Here is a 21,376-nt window from a genome sequence, read left to right on the forward strand (position 1 = left end):
AACATTTCTTTCGCTTTTTTTTTTTTTCCTTTTGAGACAGGGTCTTGCTCTGTCACCCAGGCTGTAGTACAGTGGTGGAATCTTGGCCCACTGCAACCTCCACTTCCTGGGTTCAAGCAATTCTCATTCCTCAGCCTCCTGAGTAGCTAGGATTACAGGTGTGTGCTACTATACCTGGCTAATTTTTTTTTTCTTTTTTTTGAGACAGAGTCTCGCTCTGTCACCCAGGCTGGAGTGCAGTGGCACAATCTCAGCTCACTGCAAGCTCCACCTCCCAGGTTCATGCCATTCTCCTGCCTCAGCCTCCTGAGTAGCTGGGATTGCAGGCGCCCGCCACCACACCCGGCTAATTTTTTGTGTTTTTAGTAGAGACGGGGTTTCACGGTGTTAGCCAGACTGGTCTCAAACTCCTGGCCTCAAGTGATCCACCCGCCTTGGCCTTCCAAAGTGCCGGGATTACAGACTTGAGCCACCATACCCGGCCTGGAACACTCTTTTAATGTTTAGCCAGGCCATTTACAACTCTGCCTTAGCCTTTGCTTCCTGCTTGTGCTGAGCCTAAAGATCGGGCAGAGGTGAAAGTTTAGACTCTTCCTAGGCCGCTTCTTAGCATGTCTCCTGTCCAGTGTGCCTTTCTAAATCCCAGGCGCATGCAGGTGCTTTTCAGTGCTCCAGTTCACCACATTAGCCTTGGTGCCTAGCTCTTCTTCCCAGGCATTCAGCTGTGTATTGTTTACCTCAACTATAATTTTTTTCTTAACAGCAAGTTGTTCATGTACCTACTGAGACCTTTGTTAACCCCTCTACCCACTTTTTTTTTTTTTTTTGAGACGGAGTCTCACTCTGTCACCCAGCCTGGAGTGCAATGGGATGATCTTGGCTCACCGCAACCTCCACCTCCTGGGTTCACACCATTCTCCTGCCTCAGCCTCCTGAGTAGCTGGGATTACAGGTGCGTGCCACCATGCCCTGCTAATTTTTTGTATCTTTTACCAGAGACAGGGTTTCACCATGTTGGCCAGGCTGGTCTTGAACTCCTCACCTTGTGATCTGCCCTCCTTGGCCTCCCAAAGTGCTGAGATTACAGGAGTGAGCCACCGCGCCTGACCCCTCTCTACCCACTTTTAAAAAATTCTTATTATAGATTTTTTTTTAACATAAGCAGAGAGAGAACAATATATTAAACCTCGGTGAACATTTATCGTCATATGGATAATCATATTCCATTTACCTATTTTAATACAAATCCTAGCCATCATATTGTTTTATCTGTACATACTTCAACTGACAGATCATGTAAAATGTAAATAATAAGGTCTGTTAAAAAATGATATGGCCACAATACTATCATCCCATATTAAGCCCTGTCACCTAGGCTGGAGTACAGTGGTGCAATCATAGCTCACTGGTACCTTGAACCCATGGGCTCATGTGATCCTCCTGTCTCAGCCACTTGAGTAACTCCAGCTACAGGCTTGTGCCACAATGCCTATCCAGTTTTTTTTTTTTTTTTTTTTTTTTTTTTTTATAGAGACAGGGTCTTGCTATGTTTCTCAAGCTGGTCTCAAACTCTTGGCCTCAAGCAGTCCTCTCCTCTTAGCCTCCCAAAGTGCTGAGATTATAGGCGTGGGCTACCATACCATATTCTTTTACTTGTATTTCCTCTTTTAGTTATCTCGAGATGTGGTAAGAACAAACAAAAAACAAAACACTACAAGTATCTCTTAGGTCATCCTGTTAAATCAGTGGTTCTCAACTGGGGGCAAAATTGCTATTTCTTGTCCCATACGGAGATTTGGAACATTTGACAATGTCTCGAGATATTTTTTATTGTTAGAACCAAGGAGAGTGCTGCTGGTATCTGGTGGGTAGAGGCTGGGGACGTTGCTAAGCATTCCCTAATGCATAGGACAGTGCTCCGCAACAAAGGATTATCTAGTCCAAAATGGCAGTTGTGCTGAGGTTGAAATAACCTGTGTGCCATGGTCTACAGTTACTATTTCAGTGAAGGGTATTGCTGGAACATGGCAGCACTGAAATAGAATGTGACCAGGCCGGGTGCAGTGGCTCATGCCTGTAATCCCAGCACTTTGGGAGGCTGAGGCAGGCGGATCACGAGGTCAGGAGTTCAAGACCAGCCTGGCCAACAGAGGGAAACCCCGTCTCTACTTAAAAAAATACAAAAAATTAGCTGGGCGTGGTGGCAGGCGCCTGTAATCCCAGCTACTTGGGAGGCTGAGGCAGGAGAACTGCTTGAACCCAGGAGGTGGAGGTTGCAGTGAGCTATCATGCCACTGCACTCCAGCCTGGGTGACAGTGCGAGACTCTTCAAAAAAAAAAAAAAAAAAAAAAAAAAGAAATATGGCCAGGCGCGGTTGCTCACGCCCATAATCCCAGCACTTCGGGAGGCTGAGGCGGGCAGATCACGAGGTCAGGAGATCGAAACCATCCTGGCTAACACGGTGAAACTCCGTCTCCACTAAAAATAGAAAACATTAGCCGGGCGTGGTGGCGGACGCCTGTAGTCCCAGCTACTCGGGAGGCTGAGGCAGGAGAATGGTGTGAACCCAGGAGGTGGAGCTTGCAGTGAGCCGAGATCACGCCACTGCACTCTAACCTGGGCTACTCCATCTCAAAAAAAAAAAAAAAAAGAAATAAAATGTGACCAAAAAACCACTTTTTAGGAATAGAGTATGTGCTTACAGAGTTTGAAATATTATAGGGTGAGCGCTTGCAAGACAAAAGTATGTTAGCCATATGATTATGTAGACTGAAGTATTGGGATCACATCATACTTAGGTTGTAGGACAAATAATCAAGTATTTTGTGTCCTAGTTTTTCTTGTTTCACAGTTTACACTAAGTATAAATCCTAATCTCTTCTTAAGATTGTTGGCATAAGTAGTTGGTTTTTTTACAGGTCAAAATTCAAAAGAAATAACAGGATCTAATGGGTAGTGCTCCTTAATCTTAATTTCCTGTTCATAGCCAACAATGCAGTCTTTCAGTTTCTTGAGCAGTACATTTACCCAGAGTTTTGGAAAGCAAACAGTATCATTAACACATTCCTTAATGAGATTTTTAGAAAGATCTAAGTAAATGGAGATATTTCATTTACCATGGCTTCTGGTAAAGAAGGACTAATATACGAGGTTTTAAAATTAGAATTTGCCATCTGTTTCAATGAAATATATAACAAGAATGTCAGAAAAGGTTCATTAAAAATTGATTTAAATGTTACATAAATGCTTTTATTATTGTCCTTTTCTTGCAGTGGATTCTTAAAATAGCCTCTGAGCCTCAGTTTCTCAACTGTAGAATAAAACAACATACCTTCCTTACAGGGTTGCTGTAAGGCTTAATTGCTTGAGTGAGATTCTGTATATGACAGTGGGTTTTTTTTTTTATTCTTTTGAGATGGAGTCTCGCTCTGTCACCCAGGCTGGAGTGCAGTGGTGTGATCTTGGCTCACTGTAACCTCTGTCTCCTGGGTTCAAGCGATTCTCCTGCCTCAGCCTTCCTGGGACTAAAGACATGTGCCACCATGCCAGCTGATTTTTGTATTTTTAATAACTGGGATTACAGGCGTGAGCCACCGGGCCTGACCAATGACTGTGTTTTTAAACTACAACATGATGTACATAGATGTGATTTTTTCAAAGTGAAATTTTTACTTTATTTTGATTATATGTGAAGTAGACTGTTATGGATAGATAAAATGCTGTTCCACCAATTTTCAGAAGGATATATTGGGTATTTTTATGTATGTATAGATACCACATATTTACCATTGTGTGTCTCTTATTCCTGTTTTTAAAATTTTATTTTAAGGTTTTATTCTTTGAAATTTTGAATCAAGGGTTTTGTCTGTTTTCCTTGCTCCTGGGTTAGCCTGTGAAGTGGGGGCAGGGTGGAGGAAAGAGTTATATCTGTCTTGAAGAAATAACCCAAAAAATCTTGTTAGACAGTTCTCCAAAGAAGATATACAAATGACCAGTAAGCACATGAAAAGATATTCATAATATCCAAAAAGTAGATATACTCTAGGTGTCCATTAACTGATGAACATGTGGTGTATCCATTCCAAGGAATGTCATCTGTCAATAAAAAGAGGTTAAGTACTGATACATGCTACAGCATGGATTAATGTTGAAAATATTATACTAAGTGAAAGAAGCCGATCACAACAGGCTGCATCTATAGTAAGATTGCATTTCTGTGCATTGCCTAGAATAGACAAATCTGTAGAGACAGAAAGTAGAATAGTGGTTGCCTAGGGCCGGAGGGAATATGGGGGTTGAGGAGCAATACCCAAGGGGATAGGGTTTCTTTTTGGGAATGACAAAACATTTAAAATGGATTTTGGTCATGGATGCATGTAAAAAGTGAAGTAGAGGCTCCTCTTCAAAGAGACTTTCCTCCCCATCTAATTAAGAATAAATAGTAACTTCTCTTAGAAGCAAAATTTATTCAAAGACCTGTGCTAACATTCTTAGATATCTGCTAGCTGTAATAAAGAAATCAATGTACTTTGTGTTCTTAGCTCCCACAATTTAGCCTAAATATTTTCCCTGGCATACTTATACTGGTCAAAGCAAGCATTAAGTCGTAGCCTATTCCTCTTCTTTATTCGGAGGTGTTTTTACCTTTCTGAGCATTCCACAATTTACTTCCTCCTTCCTTTGTTCTCCTCTGCCTTTGCCTCTTTTGAAAAGTTCTAAGTTGCTAGCCAATTGGGACAAATACAGAATGTGAGGTCCCATTCCAGCCAATGGAAACTGGTAACAGCAGTAGGGTGAATGTTTCAGGTTATAAATGTCCCTGTCTCCTTTGTTCAGTGTACTCTCATGGCAGAAGTGCTGGCGAGTGTACCCTTTCTGCAGAAAGTAAAAAAATGGCCTTGCTGAGAAAATTAAATTTATGTTCAGTTGCTATTTCTTTGTGACACTGGGGAACAAGCATTTCTAACAATGCACAACTCTGTGATTATAGCAAAAGCCAATGATTTATAAACCTTAAATAGGAGAATTTTATGGTATGTGAATTTTTTTTTTTTTTAGACAGAGTCTCGCTCTTTTGCCCAGGCTGGAGTGCAGTGGCCTGATCTCAGCTCACTGCAATCTCTGCCTCCCAGGTTCAAGCGATTCTTGTCCCTCAGCCTCCCAAGTAGCTGGGATTACAGGCACACGCCACCAAGCCTGGATAATTTTTGTATTTTTAGTAGAGGTGGAGTTTTGCCAAGTTGGCCAGACTGATCTTGAACTCCTGACCTCAGGTGATCCGCCTCCCTTGGCCTTCCAAAGTGCTGGGATTACAGGCTTGAGCCACTGCACTCAGCCTTTTTTTTTTTTTTTTTTTAAGGCAGAGTCTTGCTGTTGCCCAGGCTGGAGTGCAATGACACAATCTTGGCCCACTGCAACCTCCACCTCCCAGGTTCAAGTGATTCTCTTGCCTCAGCCTCCTGACTAACTGGGATTACAGGCTCGTGCCACCACCTGGCTAATTTTTTATATTTTTAGTAGAGACGGGATTTCACCAAGTTGGCCAGGCTGGCTTCAAACTCCTGACCTCAAGTGATCCACTGGCCTCAGCCTCCCAAAGTGCTGGGATTACAGGCGTGACCCACTATGCCCAGCCTCATTCTTTTTTATAGGGCTAAATAATATTCCATTGTGAATATATATCACATTTCCTTTATCCATTTATCTGCTGATGGACACTTAGGTTGGTTCTGTATCTTGGTGATTGTGAATAGTGCTGCCATAAGCATGAGAATGCAGCTATGTCTTCAACATACTGATTTCCTTTCCTTTGGATGTATATTCAGTAGTGGGGTTGCTGGATCATATGGTAGTTCTAGCTTTAGTTTTTTGAGGAATCTCCATATTGTTTTCCATAATGACTGTGGTAGTTTACATTGCCAACAACAGTGTATAAGAGTTCCCTTTCTCCACATCCTTGTCAGCATTTGTTATTATTTGATAATAGTCATTTTAACTTGGGTGAGATGGAATCTCATTGCGGTTTTGATTTGCATTTCTTTGATGATTAGTGATGTTGAGCATTTAAAAATGTGTCTGTTGGCTACTTGTATATGTTCTTTTGAGAAATGTCTATTTACATCATTCGACCTTTTAAAAATCAGATTATTTGTGGGTTTTTTTGCTGTTGGGTTGTTTGAATTTTTTGTATATTCTGGATATTAATCCCTTGTTTGATGAATGGTTTGGAAATATTTTCTGTCATTCTGCAGGTTGTCTCTTTACCCTGTTGATTGTTTCCTTTGCAGTGCAGCAGCTTTTTAGTTTGATATCATCCTATTTATTTGTTTTTACTTTTGTTGCCTGTAATTTCGAAGTTCTATTCATAAAATCATTGCCCAGACCAGTGTCCTAAAGTGTTTCCTCTGTGTTTTCACAGTATGTAATTTCACAGTTTCAGGTCTTACGTTTATGTCGTTAATCTGTCTTGAGTTGATTTTTGTATATTGTCTTTCCCCACTGCATGACCTTGGCACCTTAGTCAAAAATTGGTTTCCTGTAAATATTTGGATTTATTTCTGGGTTCTCTATTTTGTTCTGTTGAGTCTATGTGTCTGTTCTTATGTCAATACCATGCTGCTTTGGTTACAGTAGGTTTATAGTTTATTTTTTGTTTTTTGTTTTTGTTTTTTTTTTGAGATGGAGTTTTACACTGTTGCCTGGGCTGGAGTGCAATGATGTGATCTCAGCTCACTGCAACATCCACCTGCCCGGTTCAAGTGATTCTCCTGCCTCAGCCTCCCGAGTAACAGAGATTACAGGTGCCTGCCACCACTCCTGGCTAATTTTTTGTATTTTTAGTAGAGATGGGGTTTCACTATGTTGGCCAGGCTGGTCTTGAACTCCTGACTTTGTGATCCTCCTGCCTCAGCCTCCCAAAGTGCTGGGATTAGAGGTGTGAGCCACTGCACCTGGCTATAGTATATTTTGAAGTCATGTACTGTAATACCTTGAGCTGTGTTCATTCTGCATAGGATTTCTTTGGCTATTTGGGGATTTTAATGGTTCCATGTGATTTTTAGAATTGTTTTCTATTTCTGTGAAAAATGTCTTTGGTGGTTTGATAGGGATTGCATCAAATCTGTAAATTGCTTTGGGTGGTATGATAACTTTAACTATATTTATTCTTCCAACCCATGGAGATGGGGTATCTTTCCATTTTTTTGTGTGTGCTCTCTTCAATTTCTTTCCTCAGTGATATGAAATTTTCTTTTTTTTCTTTCTTTTTTCTTTGAGACAGAGTCTCGCTCTGTCACCCAGGCTGGAGTGCAATGGCACAATCTCGGTTCACTGCAACCTCCACCTCCTGGGTTCAAGCGATTCCCCTGCCTCAGCCTCCTGAGTAGCTGGGATTATAGATGCCTGCCACCACGCCTGGCTAACTTTTTGTATTTTTTTAGTAGAGACAGGGTTTCACTGTATTAGCCAGGATGGTCTCGATCTCCTGAATTCATGATCCGCCCACCTTGGCCTCCCAAAGTGCTGGGATTACAGACGTGAGCCACCGCGCCTGGCTGAGGATTTTTATACCTTTGTTTATCAGGGATATTGGCATGCTATTTTCCTTTTCTTTTTTGTTGTGTTTTTGTCTTGTTTTGTTTTCAGGGTAATACTGGCCTCGTATAATACTGAGTTTCTAAGAATTTCTTCCCCCTTAATTTTTTGAAATAGTTTGAAAAGTATTCGTGTGAGAGGTGTGTGTGTGTGTGTGTGTGTGTGTGTGTTTTAGGTTTGGTGGAATTTATTAGGGAAGCCATCTGGCCATGTACTTTTTTCTTTGTTGGAAGACTTTTTATAATTGATTTAATCTTGTTAATGATCTGTTCAGGTTTTCTCTTTCTTCCTGGTTTATTCTTGGTAGGTTGTGTGTGTACAGGAATTTCTACGTTTCCTCTAGGTTTTCCAATTTGTTGGTGTACAGTTGGTTATAACAGTCTTTAATGATTCTTTGTATTTCTGTGGTATCAGTAGTAATGTCTCTTTTTTTGTTTCTGATTATATTTATTTGGATCTTTTTTTTTTTCTTGGTTAGTCTAATGGTTTGTCGATGTTTATCTTTTTAACAAATGAACTTTCTGTTTTGTTGATTTTTGTGTTCTTTTAGTCTCAACTTCATTTATTTTTGCTCTGATTATTATTTTTTTCTGTTCTAGTAATTTTGGGTTTGGTGTGTTTTTGCTTTTCTAGTTCCCTGAAGTGCATTGTTAGATTGATATTTGAAATGATTCTACATTTTTGATATAGTTGTTTATTATTATAAACTTCCCTCTTAGTACTGCTTTTGCTCTGTCCCTTAAGTTTTGACATTTGCTTCTATTTTCATTTGTTTCAGTACATATTTAAATTTTTTTCTTGCTTTCTTCATTGACTCATTGGCTGTTCAAGAGTGTGCTATTTGGTTTCCATTACTTTATATAGGTTCCAAAGTTCCTTTTATGACTGATTTCTTGTTGTATTCCATTGTCCAAAAACATACTTGATAGGATTTTGATTTTTTAACATTTTTTGAGACTAAAATATGGTCTGCCCTGGAGAATATTTTATGTATGGATGAGAAGATCGTGTATTCTGCAGGTGTAGTATGAAATATTTTGTCAGTGTCTGTTAGGTCAGTTTGGCCTGTGGTTTGAATCTGGTGTTTCTTTACTGATTTTCTGTCTAGGTGATCTGTCCAATTCTGAGAGAGTGTGATGTTGATGCCCCCAACTATTATGGTAGTAGAGTCTATCTTTCCCATTAGATCTCATAATGTTTGCTTTATATCTCAGTGCTCCAGTGTTAGGTACATAAATATTTACAGTTGTTAGATCCTCTTGCTGCAGTGATTCCTTTATCATTATACAGTGACCTTTTCCTTGGTCTCATTTTACAGTTTCTGACTTAAAGTCTATTTTATCTTATACAAGGATAGCTACTCTTGCTTACTTTTTTTTTTTTTTTTAATTTGAGATGGAATCCTGCTCTGTTGCCCAGGCTGGGGTGCAGTGGCACAATCTCGGCTCACTGCAACTTCCGCCTCTCAGGTTCAAGCAATTCTTCTGCCTCAGCCTCTTGAGTAGCTGGGATTGCCCACCACCACACCTGGCTAATTTTTGTATTTTTAGTAGAGATGGGGTATCACCATGTTGGCCAGGCTGGTCTCGAACTCCTGACCTCGTGATTCTCCCTGCCTCAGCCTCCCAAAGTGATGGGATTACAGGCGTGAGCCACCACACCCAGCTGCTTTTGGTTTTGGTTTGTGTGGTATGTATTTTTCCATCGCATTCACTTTCAGTCTGTGTATATCTTTACAGGTGAAGTGAGTTTCTTGTAGGCAACACATAGTTGGGTGTTTTTTTTTAAAATTCATTCAGCCAGTTTATATCTTTTAACAAGGGACTTTAATCCATTTACATTCAAGGTTATTCATGGTAGATGATGACTTACTCATGTTGTTTTGTATATTGTTTTTGCTTTCTTACTGTTTTTTTTTTTTTTTTTTTTTTTTTTTGCAGTTTGGTGGTCTTCCATAGCGGTAACATTTGAATCCTTTTTTTTTTTCTCATTTGTATATCTGCCCTACCAGTGAGTTTATACTTTTGTGTATTTTCATGATGGTAATTATTCTTTCACTTCCTGATATAGGAGTCCCTAAGCTTTTCTTGTAAGGCCAGTCTAGTGGTGATGAATTCCCTCAGTTTTTACTTGTCTGGGACAGGCTTTATTTCTCCTTCATTTCCAGAGGACAGTTTTGCTTGGTGGTCTTTTTTTTTTTTTTTTTTTCCAGCCCTTAGAATATATCATCCCATTCTCTCCTGGCCTGTGAGGTTTCTGCTGAGAAATCTGCTGTTATTCTTATGGAGGTTTCCTTACATGTGACGTGATGCTTTTCAATTGCTGTTTTTAGAATTCTCTTTGTCATTGTCTTTTGACAGTTCGACTATAATGTGTCTCAAGGTGGCTTTTTTTTTTTTTTGGCATTTAATCCATTTGAGGAATTTTTAGCTTGCTTGATCTGAATGTCCATATCTCTCCCCAAATGTGGGAAGTTTTCAGCTTTTATTTCATTAAAACCTGTTTACTTTTCCATGCCTTTTCCCACCTGTTCTCCTTCTGGAATTCCTAAATGCAAACATTTGTTCATGTAATGGTGTCCCATCATTCCTGTAGGCTTTTTTTCCTACGCCTCCTGCTGCTGCTCCTCCTCCTGCTGTTCCTCCTCCTCTCTCCTCTATCCTTTCTTCCTTCTCCCTTCTCTCTTCTTCTTCTTTTCTTCTTTCTTTTTCTCATCTTCTCCTCTTCCTCTTCCTTCTTCTTTTCCTTTTCTTTTTCTTTTCTCCTTTTATTCTTTCTTCTTCTTCCTTCCTTTTTTTTGGTCTGACTGGGTCATTTCAAAAGTCCTGTCTTCAAATTCAGACATTGTTTGTTCTCCTTGATCTAGTATGTTGTTGAAACTCTGAGTTGTATTTATTTCATTCATCGAATTCCTCACCTTCAAGTTTTCTGTTTGGCTGTTTTTTTGTGATATCTATCTCTCTTGAATTTCTCATTTAGGTCATGAATTCTTTTCCTGATTTCATTGAATTGTCTATGTGTATTCTCTTGTATCTCTCTGAGTTTCCTTAAGACCATTATTTTAAATTCTGTTACAGGCCTCGATTTTCCTTTTTCTTTCAGGTCTGTTACTGGAGAATTATTGTGTTTCTTTGGGAGTGTCATGTTTTCTTGCTATTTCATGTTTTTGTTTTTTACTACATTGATATCTGCACATCTGGTATAACAGTCACCCCTTCCATTTTTATGGAGTAGTTTTCGTAGGGAAAGACTTTCCTGGAGAAGTATTTTATAGTGTTGGTTGAGTGGGGTGCTTTGACTTGTCCTCTAGACGGGTACAGTAGTGTAGTAGTATAGTAGTGTACATGTGATTTCTTTGGCCATAATCGGTGCCTGTGGTTCCTATGAGTGCCTCACTGGCCTGGACTGTGGGTGTTTGTGGAGGCAGTGGCATGACTTTGCTAGGGGCAGTATTGCTGGGCTTGCTGGTCCTTAGACCCTAGGGGAGCTTGTGCTATTTCTGGCAGCTCTGTTGCTTATGGGGGTAGTGTCTTCAGTGGTGCTGGTTTCTGGGCAGAATGGTCCTTGGGCCTTGAGGGGCCTGAAGGGCACATGGTAGTTCTGCCTGTCGGGAGGTTGAGATGGTTGGCAGTGGTGGACACTGGGGAGCTGGTCCTTGGGCCCTGGCGTTGTGTCTGTCTTGGGGGTGGTCTCCTTGCTGTACTGCGCTGCCTGTTTTTTTGGACTACAAGGTTCTGCATGGGCTCAGGTGCTTGGATATGGTTGTACTGCTAGGTATAGCTTGGGTTATGGCATTGTAATCTTTTGTATGGCCATGGAGTGATGGTGGTGGGACCTCAGGAATATGGAGATACAGGGGCTTTGGCTCCCAGGGCAGGATACACTCTAGCAGTGGTTTTGGTCTCAAAATGACATTGTGTTGTAGCTGCTTGGGTCCCAGGTGGAGGTTCTTGTCCTTTCCCCAGGCCTGCATCAGGAGAAACTCATTCTCAGGCCCTGTCAGTGTGATTTCCAAGCAAGTGTTCCAGCTGTCGTCACTCACTTTATGAAGTGTCGACGTAGATGACAGTAACATGGTGTTGACAGTTTGCCTTGTTTGTGTACATTCACAGTTAACATGGTTAAAGCAGCAGAGAGCGTTCTGTCAACCTGTAACTGGAATTGAGTGAGTTAGGTGCCCAACATCTCTGGGAAGAGTTGAATGATTTCTCTATTCACCCCTCTCTGTTGGGTGTCATGATTTAAAATAAGTTGGAAAATACCACTATACATGGTTGAACTCTTAGGAGGAAACCAGTCCTGATTTTGTGATTTTTAAAAATGGATGACTTCATCATAAATGACTAGCCCAGATCTTATTACAGAAGGGTCTTTTAGAACTTTGCATCTTGTTCCTAGGCACCACACCAACCCCGTGGGCACTGAGTGGCGGTGGAAGATGGACCAGCCTGAAATGATCTTGAAGGAAGCCATTGAAAACCATCAGAACATGATTAAGCAGTTTAAAGGTATTTATCTTCCCTCTACAAAGGAATGCTAATACCTGTTAATAGTCTGAATCAGATTGGCAGAAGAATTGCCTCTTTGGTAGGATTTTGTCCCCACTGGCAAATTTTCCTCTAAGGAAGTGAAAACTTTGTAGGAATATTATATATATTTTGCCTTTTTAGCTTTTACGTCCCATATGATGGAAGAACTAAAAATTTAAAATGTAGCAACTTGGCCAGGTGTGCTGGCTCACGCCTGTAATCCCAGCACTTTGGGAGGCCGAGGCGGGTGGATCACCTGAGGTCAGGAGTTCGAGATGAGCCTGGCTAACATGGTGAAACCCCGTCTCTACTAAAAATGCAAAAATTAACTGGACATGATGGTGGTTGCCTGTAATCCCAGCTACTTGGGAGGCTGAGGCAGGAGAATTGCTTGAACCTGGGAGGCAGAGGTTGCAGTGAGCCAAGATCTCTCCACTCCACTCCAACCTGGGCAAAAAGAGCGAAACTCCATCTCAGAAATAAATAAATAAATAAAAAGTTTAGCAACTTATAATATGCTGCATTCAGCCTGAAAGCTTTACCTGGGAATGTACCATCAATCTTCCTAGAAACCTTTGCTGTTGTTCTGTCTGGCTGAGCTGAGCAGCCTTTTGAATGGATTGGAAATTTTAGGTTAGTGGAAAGTCTTAAATAATGTTAGTTAGTGATGGGAAAACCGTTTTGAATGAATTCCTTATTTAAAAAAAAGGAGGGATAATATAAATAACAGTTTCTTCCATCTAATGCACAGTAATGTGGTAAAAATTCAGCCACTCCATTTTTTTGAATTTCCTGATTTAATTCTGTCTCATATTAACAAATATTGACTTCACTGGAGGTTACTGGTTCTCAAACTTTATCATGCATCGGAATCATCTGGAGAGCTTGTTAAAACACAGATTGTTGGTTTCCTTTCCCAGAGATTGGGTCAGTAAGCCCAAGAGTATGCTTTTTTTTCTTTCTTCTTTTTTTTTTTTGGACCAGATCTCGCTCTGTCACCCAGGCTGGAGTATGTGGTGCCATCTTGGCTCACTGCAACCTTCACTTCCCAGGATCAGATGATCCTCCCACCTCAGCCTTGCCTCCTGAGTAGTTGGGGCTACAGGCACGGGCCACCACACCTGGCTAATTTTTTGTGAAGATGGGGTCTAGCCATGTTGTCCAGGCTGGTCTCAAACTCTTGGACTCAAGCCATCCACCCACTTTGGCCTCCCAAATTGCTGGGATTACAGGTGTGAGCCACCTGAGAATGTGCATTTCTAACAGGTTTCTGGTTGGTGTTGATGTTGTTCAACTGGGGACCATGCTTTGAGAACCACTACTGTACATGTGATGTCTTCATAAAGCAACAGCTGTAGGTGATGAATTGGAATTTGTTAGGTTCCCTGTTGAATCTCTATGCTCTGGTCTCTACCTACCACTGGTGATTCCTTCTCTCCTGTATTCTTCTTTTCCGTCATATGCAACCATTAAAAAATAGTCCCAGCCAAGACTGTTTTAATATAGACACTCTTAAGGTATTAATAGCGCATATGGGAGTCTTTAGAAACCTCAGTAATTAGCATTCTGAAGATCAGATGATTCTTTCACGTAAGGAAATTTGTTCTGTTCTGGCCACTCATTCGTAATATTATAATACTCCTTACCACTTGATATGGTTAGGCTTTGTTCCCCTCACCCAAATCTCATCTTGAATTGTAATCTCCATAATCCCCATAATCCCTATGCGTTGAGAGAGACCAGGTGGAGGTAATTGAAATGTGGGGGCTGTTTCCCCCATGGTGTTCTCATGATAGTGAGTGAGTTCTCACGAGATCTGATGGTTTTATGAGGGGCTCTTCCCCCTTTGCTCTGCACTTCTCCTTCCTGCTGCCTTGTGAAGGAGGTGCCTTGCTTCCCCTTTGCCTTCCGCTGTGATTGTAAATTTCCTGTGGCCTCCCCAGCCATGCTGAACTGCGAATCAATTAAACCTCTTTTCCTTTATAAATTACCCTGTCTCCGGCAGTTCTTTATAGCAGTATGAAAATGGGCTCATACTTATTTCTCATTTTTATGAGAAATGGAGAAAAGTCATGCAAATAATGGTTCAAGATCAGTAGTAATTTATAAAAGATAATTATTCAGTAGGCTTAGCACGGTGCCTCACGCTTGTAATCCCAGGACTTTGAGAGGCTGAGGTAGGCGGATCACCTGACGTCAGGAGTTCGAGACCAGCCTGGCCAACATGGTGAAACCCCATCTCTACTAAAAATACAAAAATTAGCCAGGCATGGTGGTGTGTGCCTTTTAATCTCAGCTACTTGGGAGGCTGAGGCAGGAGAATCTCTTGAACCCAGGAGGCAAAGGTTGCAGTGAGCTGAGTTCACACTCCACTGGACTCCAGCCTGGGTGACAAAGTGAGACTCCATCTCAAAAAAAAAAAAATTAGTCAATAATTATACTTTTTTTCTTTATGAATTTTCTAGGGAAAGTTGACCTGTACATATTTGTGTGTATCTGTAGATAGGCTGACTTTTTTTTGTACATTTACAAAGAAGCTAATGATTATTTTAATTTCTCATCTTGATTTTTAGTTTCAAGCATTTTTCGATGGCGGGAGGTGGGGTACAAGTTACATTCTTATACTTGGATAAAGCAGTGTCTCTTACCAGTGTTTTGGAAAATTAAATGAAACTGTTGGTAAAGAACTAGTAAGCCCCACATCTGGAATTTGACTGGCTTTTCCTAGACTCATTGTTGGTTTAGTTAATAATTGATTGTTGATCTTCAAGTAAGCTATGTGTCTTTTTAATAAATTTCAAGGCAAAGTCTTATTTTCCTTTGGAGAGTGTGTTAGGGTTCTCCAGAAAAACAGAACCAGTGGGTGTATGTGTATGTGTATGTGTATGTGAATGTGTGTGAGGGGAGAGAGAGAGAGACAGAAAGAGAGACTGAGATTGAGATTCATTTGTTCATTTTTAGGAGTTGGCTCATGTATTTGTGGAGGCTTGGTGAGTTCAACATCTCATGGGTTGACTGGGAGGTTGGAGACTCAGGGAAGAGTGGGAGTTCAAGTTCAAAGGCATTATCCTGGCAGAATTCCTTCTTGCTTGGAACAGGTCAATCTTTTTATATTAAAGCCTTCAAATGATTGGATGAGGTCCATCCACATTATGACGGGCAATCTACTTTACTGAAAGCCCAGCAATTTAAATGTTAATCTCATCCAAAACACCTCCACAGAAACATCCAGAATAATGGCTGAACAAATATCTGGACGCCGTGACCCAGACAGGTTGACACATAAAATTAACCATCACAGATAGTAATATCAGAAGCAGGAAATGCCAGTACTTTTATTTTTATATGAAGTTGATTTTTGAGTTAGTGCTTAAGGAGCTAATGGGACGATGACTGAGGATGTGTGTTTCCTGGACATCCTGGAGTCTCCCTGAATGAACTGTGTCTCGGGCAGTTTGTGTGAGGAGGAATCAGCACTGCCTTGAAGAATAGACACCTTCATTTCTTTATGCTGAAATGTCCTTCCTACAGAATGACGATCTGAGTTTGGATAGTAATTTTTCTGACAGGAGCGTTTTTGCAAATGCACTTTAAATGGAAATATGTAATGAATAAACCATGAGGTAGACTTTGTTGATTTTAATAAAATGTGTTAGGTGAGTTCCGTGAGCACGTGTTTTTCATTGTCTGCTGGGCCTGTTGAGGGTCCTGTCCTGTGCAGAAAGGGGTGTCCAATAGTGACCTTAGGCTTAACGTTAATCAGCAGGCATCTCAAATGGTTTGTCTATGGGTTCTTATGATGTGAGGAAAACAAAAGAGTTTTAAAATTTATATTCTCTTGAGGGATGATAGGATGCAGGATAGCAGAGAGAAAGAATAGAGCACGTCTATGGATGCGTGAATCCTGAGTAGGCATTAGAATGCATAAGATGGAAGGAATGATCCCCAGAAATTCAACAACTGCCACCAATTTCATTCTTAAAAATGGTATTTATACAGTATCTATTTTACCCTGGTAATTCCTACAACGGATTTTTTTTTTCATATCTGAATGGATTGACTTGATAACACGTTACCATGTCAGGAAAACCTCAGTGTATTTAATCAGCAACAAATTTGCTGGAAGGGTTTTCAGAGTGGAACTGGTTAATATTTGTGCATTGATGTTCTTCAGGTTAGCAAAGCAGTTTTTCTTGAAGCTAGCAGAAAACAGGTGCATGTTTGAAGGTGCGGAGGGTGTAGATGGGTCAGCACGTAGGCATAAGGGAGCCTCATTTGTTTTCTTTTTATTTTATTTTATTTTACTTTATTTATTTACTTGGAGACAGGGTCTCACTCTGTTGCCCAGGCTGGAGTGCAGTGGCATGATCTTGGCTCACTGCAACCTCTGCCTCCTGGGCTCAAGTGATCCTCCCACCTCAGCCTCCCAAGTAGCCGGAACTACAGGTGCATGCTACCGCGCTTCAGCTAATTTAAAAATTTTTAATAGAGATGGGTTTTCCCTATATTGCGCAGGCTGGTCTTGAACTCCTGGGCTCAAATGATCCTTCTGCCTGGGCCTCCCAAAGTGCTGGGATTACAGGCATGAGCCACCGTGTCTGGCTCTCATTTGTTATACATTTTCACAATGAATGAGAGATCCCTTAATTTGTAATTTTGGGGCCTTGATGACTATTTGTTTAATGCTTTTTTCTGTGTTCTAAGTTAGGTTAAACAAGCCATTATTTTTGAAAATCCATCTTATTGCTATAATAGTCATAGTAAATATTGCTGTAAAATTATGATAATAGAAAAGAAAAAAAAAACCCTAATTAGTAAAGGGTAAAGTGCATAATTTGTAAGAATCCAGAGCCCTTCTGGAAAACTGGTGGTAGTCTGTAACACTTCAAAGAAAAAAATGTTATGTGATTTCTTTTAAAATGATAACTTTGACAGCATTATAGAATTTTAGTACTTCAGAATATTGATTGTATTTTCTGTTCTCTTGGCAGCAAGTAATTTCAACTGAAAAAGACCGTAAAGGGATAGGGTCTTGTTCTGTTGCCCAGGCTGGAATGCAGTGGCATGATCATAGCTCACTGCAGCCTCAACCTCCTGGGCTCAAGCAGTCCTCCTGTCTCAGCCTCTCAAATATCTGGGATTACAGGCACATGCTACCAAACTCAGCTAATATTTTAAAAAACATTTTTGTAGATATGGGGGTCTCACTATGTTGCCCAGTCTGATCTCGAACTCCTGGGCTCAAGCAATCCTTCAGTCTCAGTCTCCCAAAGTGCTGGGATTATAGGTGTGAACCACTGCACCTGGCCTTAATTTTCATTTTAATAATATTGTATCTATGGGAATACAAATTTCAGGCTTAAACAGAAATGCTTACGAACAGATTTCTTGTATAAATGGCAATTATAGTCAATTTCAAAGGCTTGAAGGCATTTCCTTCGTAGTTTGTGATATTCCTGGTATCTCCACTTTGGCCTCTTTTTGGAGGTCCACTCTTAGCTCATTAATTATTATTATTTTAAAAATCCTTTTATTACTCTTTTTTAACAAATAGCCCCAGGGACAGGGGACCAGGGGAAGGGGGAGGAGGGGAAGTGAGGCCCCAGCCCCACAACCCCTCCCTCGCCACCCCTTTCCCCCTTATATATTTATAATCTATATACAAGCCCTGGGGGTAGCGGGCAAGAGGAACTCCCTCAGTGGGGTGGGGGCAAACCAGGCTCCTTGTCCCCTCGGGACCCAGGCTCCTCTGCCTTTTGGGAGGGCCCTTCTCGAGGTGGCGGCCCTGTCCATTCCCAAGGCTTAGGTATCCAGTGCAGGGCATCTGGTGGGGAGGCCTGCTGGTAAAGGTCGAAGCGCTGGGTGCGGAAGACTCCACTGCAGGTGGAAGGCGTGGCCTTGAGACAGGAATGCTCATTAATTATTTACCTCACTCTGGCTTGGAGAGTCCTTTGCTTTCTAGGGTGAGTTCCCACCCCATGACAAAGAACGCCTGCCGTCTGTCCTGGGTCTGGTTCAGTTGTGTGAAAGGTGGAACTGGCTGTGGGGATTGTTGCTTATTGTCTGAGTTCCCCAACTGGAGCTACGTGGCCAGTCCTGAGCAGCTTTGGAAGATAATTCCTGATGTTTTCAATGCTTGTCTTTTGTGTTCTTAATTCTGAGGGCAATCATTGTCTTTTCAGTTATTTCACTGAGTTATAAAAATATCTTTCTTTTCCTGACCTTTATTAGCGTTCCTTTTATATACATACAAAATTAACTTTGCATTGATTAAAAGTGGGTCAGAATTTCAGTGCCACTCAGCGTCTATTCAAAATGCTGCCTGCCCCCTTCTAAGTACTACCATGGCAGGGAGAAATAGTTCCCAGAAAATGGGGCTGAGGTTTCTTTAGCTCAATTTTCCACCCGTTCAGCAAACATCAAGTGATTGCACCGTCTTTGTCAGGAACGTCCTCGGTACTAAAGCTGCAAAGATGAAAAAGACATCATTTATTGCTAGGTGTTTTTATCTATACTTTAGGCTAGAAGCAAAGTACTGCAAGACATAAAAGATCTCCAACAGATGGTTTTCACAAGCTAGGTATGCTAACATACACATCATAAAGAAAATGTGAAGGTGGGGAAGAGAACACCACCTGTTAATTGTTTTCAGAAACTAATTTATGAAAAACCTCAAGTGGAGTATCTATATCAAACAGGTATTATTTATGACTTTTAGTCAGGGCAGGTCGTTGGGAAGATTTTTGGCCAGGAACTGCATTGTTATGAGAAGAAAGAAGAGAATGTTTTATTTCTGATCGGCCCAAACTTTAGAAATAGGAATATACTGAGCATTACATCATGTTTATTTGTGTGTTATTTGGTTTATCGCTATGACATTAGGATGAAAATTTTCGGATCTTAAGTTCTGGCTTTGTCATCTTTCAATGAGATGAAGTCCGCTTGTTAGTTACTCTGCTGACTGTAATTGTGATTATCCAAGATCAGGAAGGTGTTCAGAATAAGAAAAATGTCAGAAAACTTGCTTAACCAAAAAACCCAAAGAATTAGAATAACAAAGCAGAGTTTAGTTGTGAAAGGGTTAAGATTTGGGCACCATGAAGAGAACAGATCGTGTGTGTGCATGTGCGTGTATGTGTGCCTGTGTGTGTGTGTGAGTGTCAGATAATGGGAAACAGCACTATCGATTTGCTGTTGAAATGTCCTGTGTCTCATGTGGACTCTTTCTTTCTTCTCCAGGAATCCTTTCCATTAGAAATTTAGAGGCTATTACCAGAGAAATGCAAATCAAAACCACAGTAAGATACCATCTCATACCAGTTGGAATGGTGATCATTAAAAAGTCAGGAAACAACAGGTGCTGGAGAGGATGTGGAGAAATAGGAACACTTTTACACTGTTGATGGGACTGTAAACTAGTTCAACCATTGTGGAAGACAGTGTGGCGATTCCTCAAGGATCTAGAACTAGAAATACCATTTGACCCAGCCATCCCATTACTGGGTGTATACCCAAAGGATTATAAATCATGCTGTTATAAAGACACATGTACACGTATGTTTATTGCAGCACTATTCACAATAGCAAAGACTTGGAACCAACCCAAGTGTCCATCAATGATAGACTGGATTAAGAAAATGTGGCACATATACACCATGGAATACTATGCAGCCATAAAAAAGGATGAATTCATGTTTTTTTTAGGGACATGGATGAAGCTGGAAACCATCATTCTGAGTAAACTATCACAAGGACAGAAAACCAAACACTGCATGTTCTCACTCATAGGTGGGAACTGAACAATGAGAACACTTAGACATAGGAAGGGGAACATCACACATCGGGGCCTGTCATGGGTTGGGGGGAGGGGGGAGGGATAGCATTAGGAGATACACCTAATGTAAATGACGAGTTAACGGGTACAGCACGCCAACGTGGCACATGTTTACATATGTAACAAACCTGCACATTGCTCACATGTACCCTAGAACTTAAAGTATAATAATAATAAAAAAGAAATTTAGAGGCTGTTTCAATTTCTGTCATATTTCCTTGAGGACAGTGCAAGAAGACATGAAGTGGAGTCCTTGAGGCTTTGTTTTTGGGAGGACCAGTGTAACAGCCTCTGGCAGAGAGCAAGAAATAAATAGAAACATGCTCTTATGAAGGAGAGAACCAAGGTTTTACATAAGCTTTTCAATATCTTACTTGTGAGAGAATCAGGATAACTTTAAAATCTAAGAATCCATTACTTTAAAAAGTTGATCATCAAGAATTTTTTTTGTCTTGTATTTTGTTTGTTTTTGTGATTGTCTAAATGGGGGAATATGATTATGATATTTTTATTTGTAGCTTTCTGGAAAGGATGGCTTTGGTGTCTTTGCTTCTAGGTTTCCTCCTGTCCTCGTGGCTGCTCTGTGGTAGTGCCCTTTGTTGATCCCTCTTCCTCTCCCCAGAACTGTGAGTGTTGTACGACTCAGTCCGTGGTCCTCCTCCCTGTCCTGTTAGCCCCAATGCTTGCTTTGTCTGAGTTGATGGCAGCCATGTTGCTGGAGCCAAACACTTTGTAGAAATCATTGAACCCTCTCACTTTCTCATACCCTACATCCAATCCATTTGAAAATCCCTCTTGATGATACCTTGAAAGTAGAGCCAGCTGATTGACTTTGCCACCTCCACTATCGTGCCACCTCCAGTGTCACCACCTTGGTCCAAGCCACCATTTCCTTTTTGTATTATATTATAGTCTGTCGGCAGATTATCCTCTCTCCTTGCCCCTCTGTTCTCAACGGAGAACCCGATGTGATCTACTTAAAACAAAAATTAGTTTATGCCACCCTCTTCTCAAAATCCTGCATTGGCTACCCATGTGACTCAGGTTCCCTAGACATAATCAGGCAGGCTCCCACCTTGGGGTCTTTTCTCCGACTGGAATGCTCTTCCGTCTTTGCCCTCTTGGCCTACTCCCTCACCTCCTCCAGCTACACTCTCCTTTTCAGCAAGACTTATCCTGACCAGCCTGATTGACAGGTCAGCCTGCCTCTTTTTCCTCTTGGCACCCCACATCTTCATTGCCCTGCTCTTTCTTTTCTTTTCCACGTGCCTATCACCTTCTTTTTTTTTTTTTTTTTTTTTTTTTTGAGACGGAATCTCACCCTGCTGCCAAGGCTGGAGTGCAGTGGTGAGATCTCGGCTCACTGCAACCTCCGCCTCCTGGGTTCAAGCAATTCTCCTGGCTCAGCCTCCCGAATAG

General features: G+C 41.1%; 1 protein-coding gene across 6 annotated transcripts in view; it reads left to right on the forward strand.

The window, feature by feature from the left end:
- The window catches only part of TYW1 (tRNA-yW synthesizing protein 1 homolog), a 242,682-nt gene that overhangs the window by 74,605 nt on the left and 146,701 nt on the right, over window positions 1-21,376 (forward strand). For 5 of the 6 annotated variants that reach the window (NR_134540.2, NM_018264.4, XM_011516372.4 and 2 more), the window contains one exon: window positions 11,993-12,102. The exons of the other annotated variant lie outside the window; for it this stretch is intronic. Coding sequence is in view for 4 of the 5 variants with exons in the window: in NM_018264.4 (NP_060734.2) it covers window positions 11,993-12,102 (110 nt within the window). In the remaining variant the exon portion in view is untranslated. The remainder of the gene's footprint in view (window positions 1-11,992; window positions 12,103-21,376) is intronic. 6 annotated transcript variants of the gene reach the window in all.

Source organism: Homo sapiens, chromosome 7, assembly GCF_000001405.40.
Source record: "Homo sapiens chromosome 7, GRCh38.p14 Primary Assembly".
NCBI classification, from domain to species: domain Eukaryota; kingdom Metazoa; phylum Chordata; class Mammalia; order Primates; family Hominidae; genus Homo; species Homo sapiens.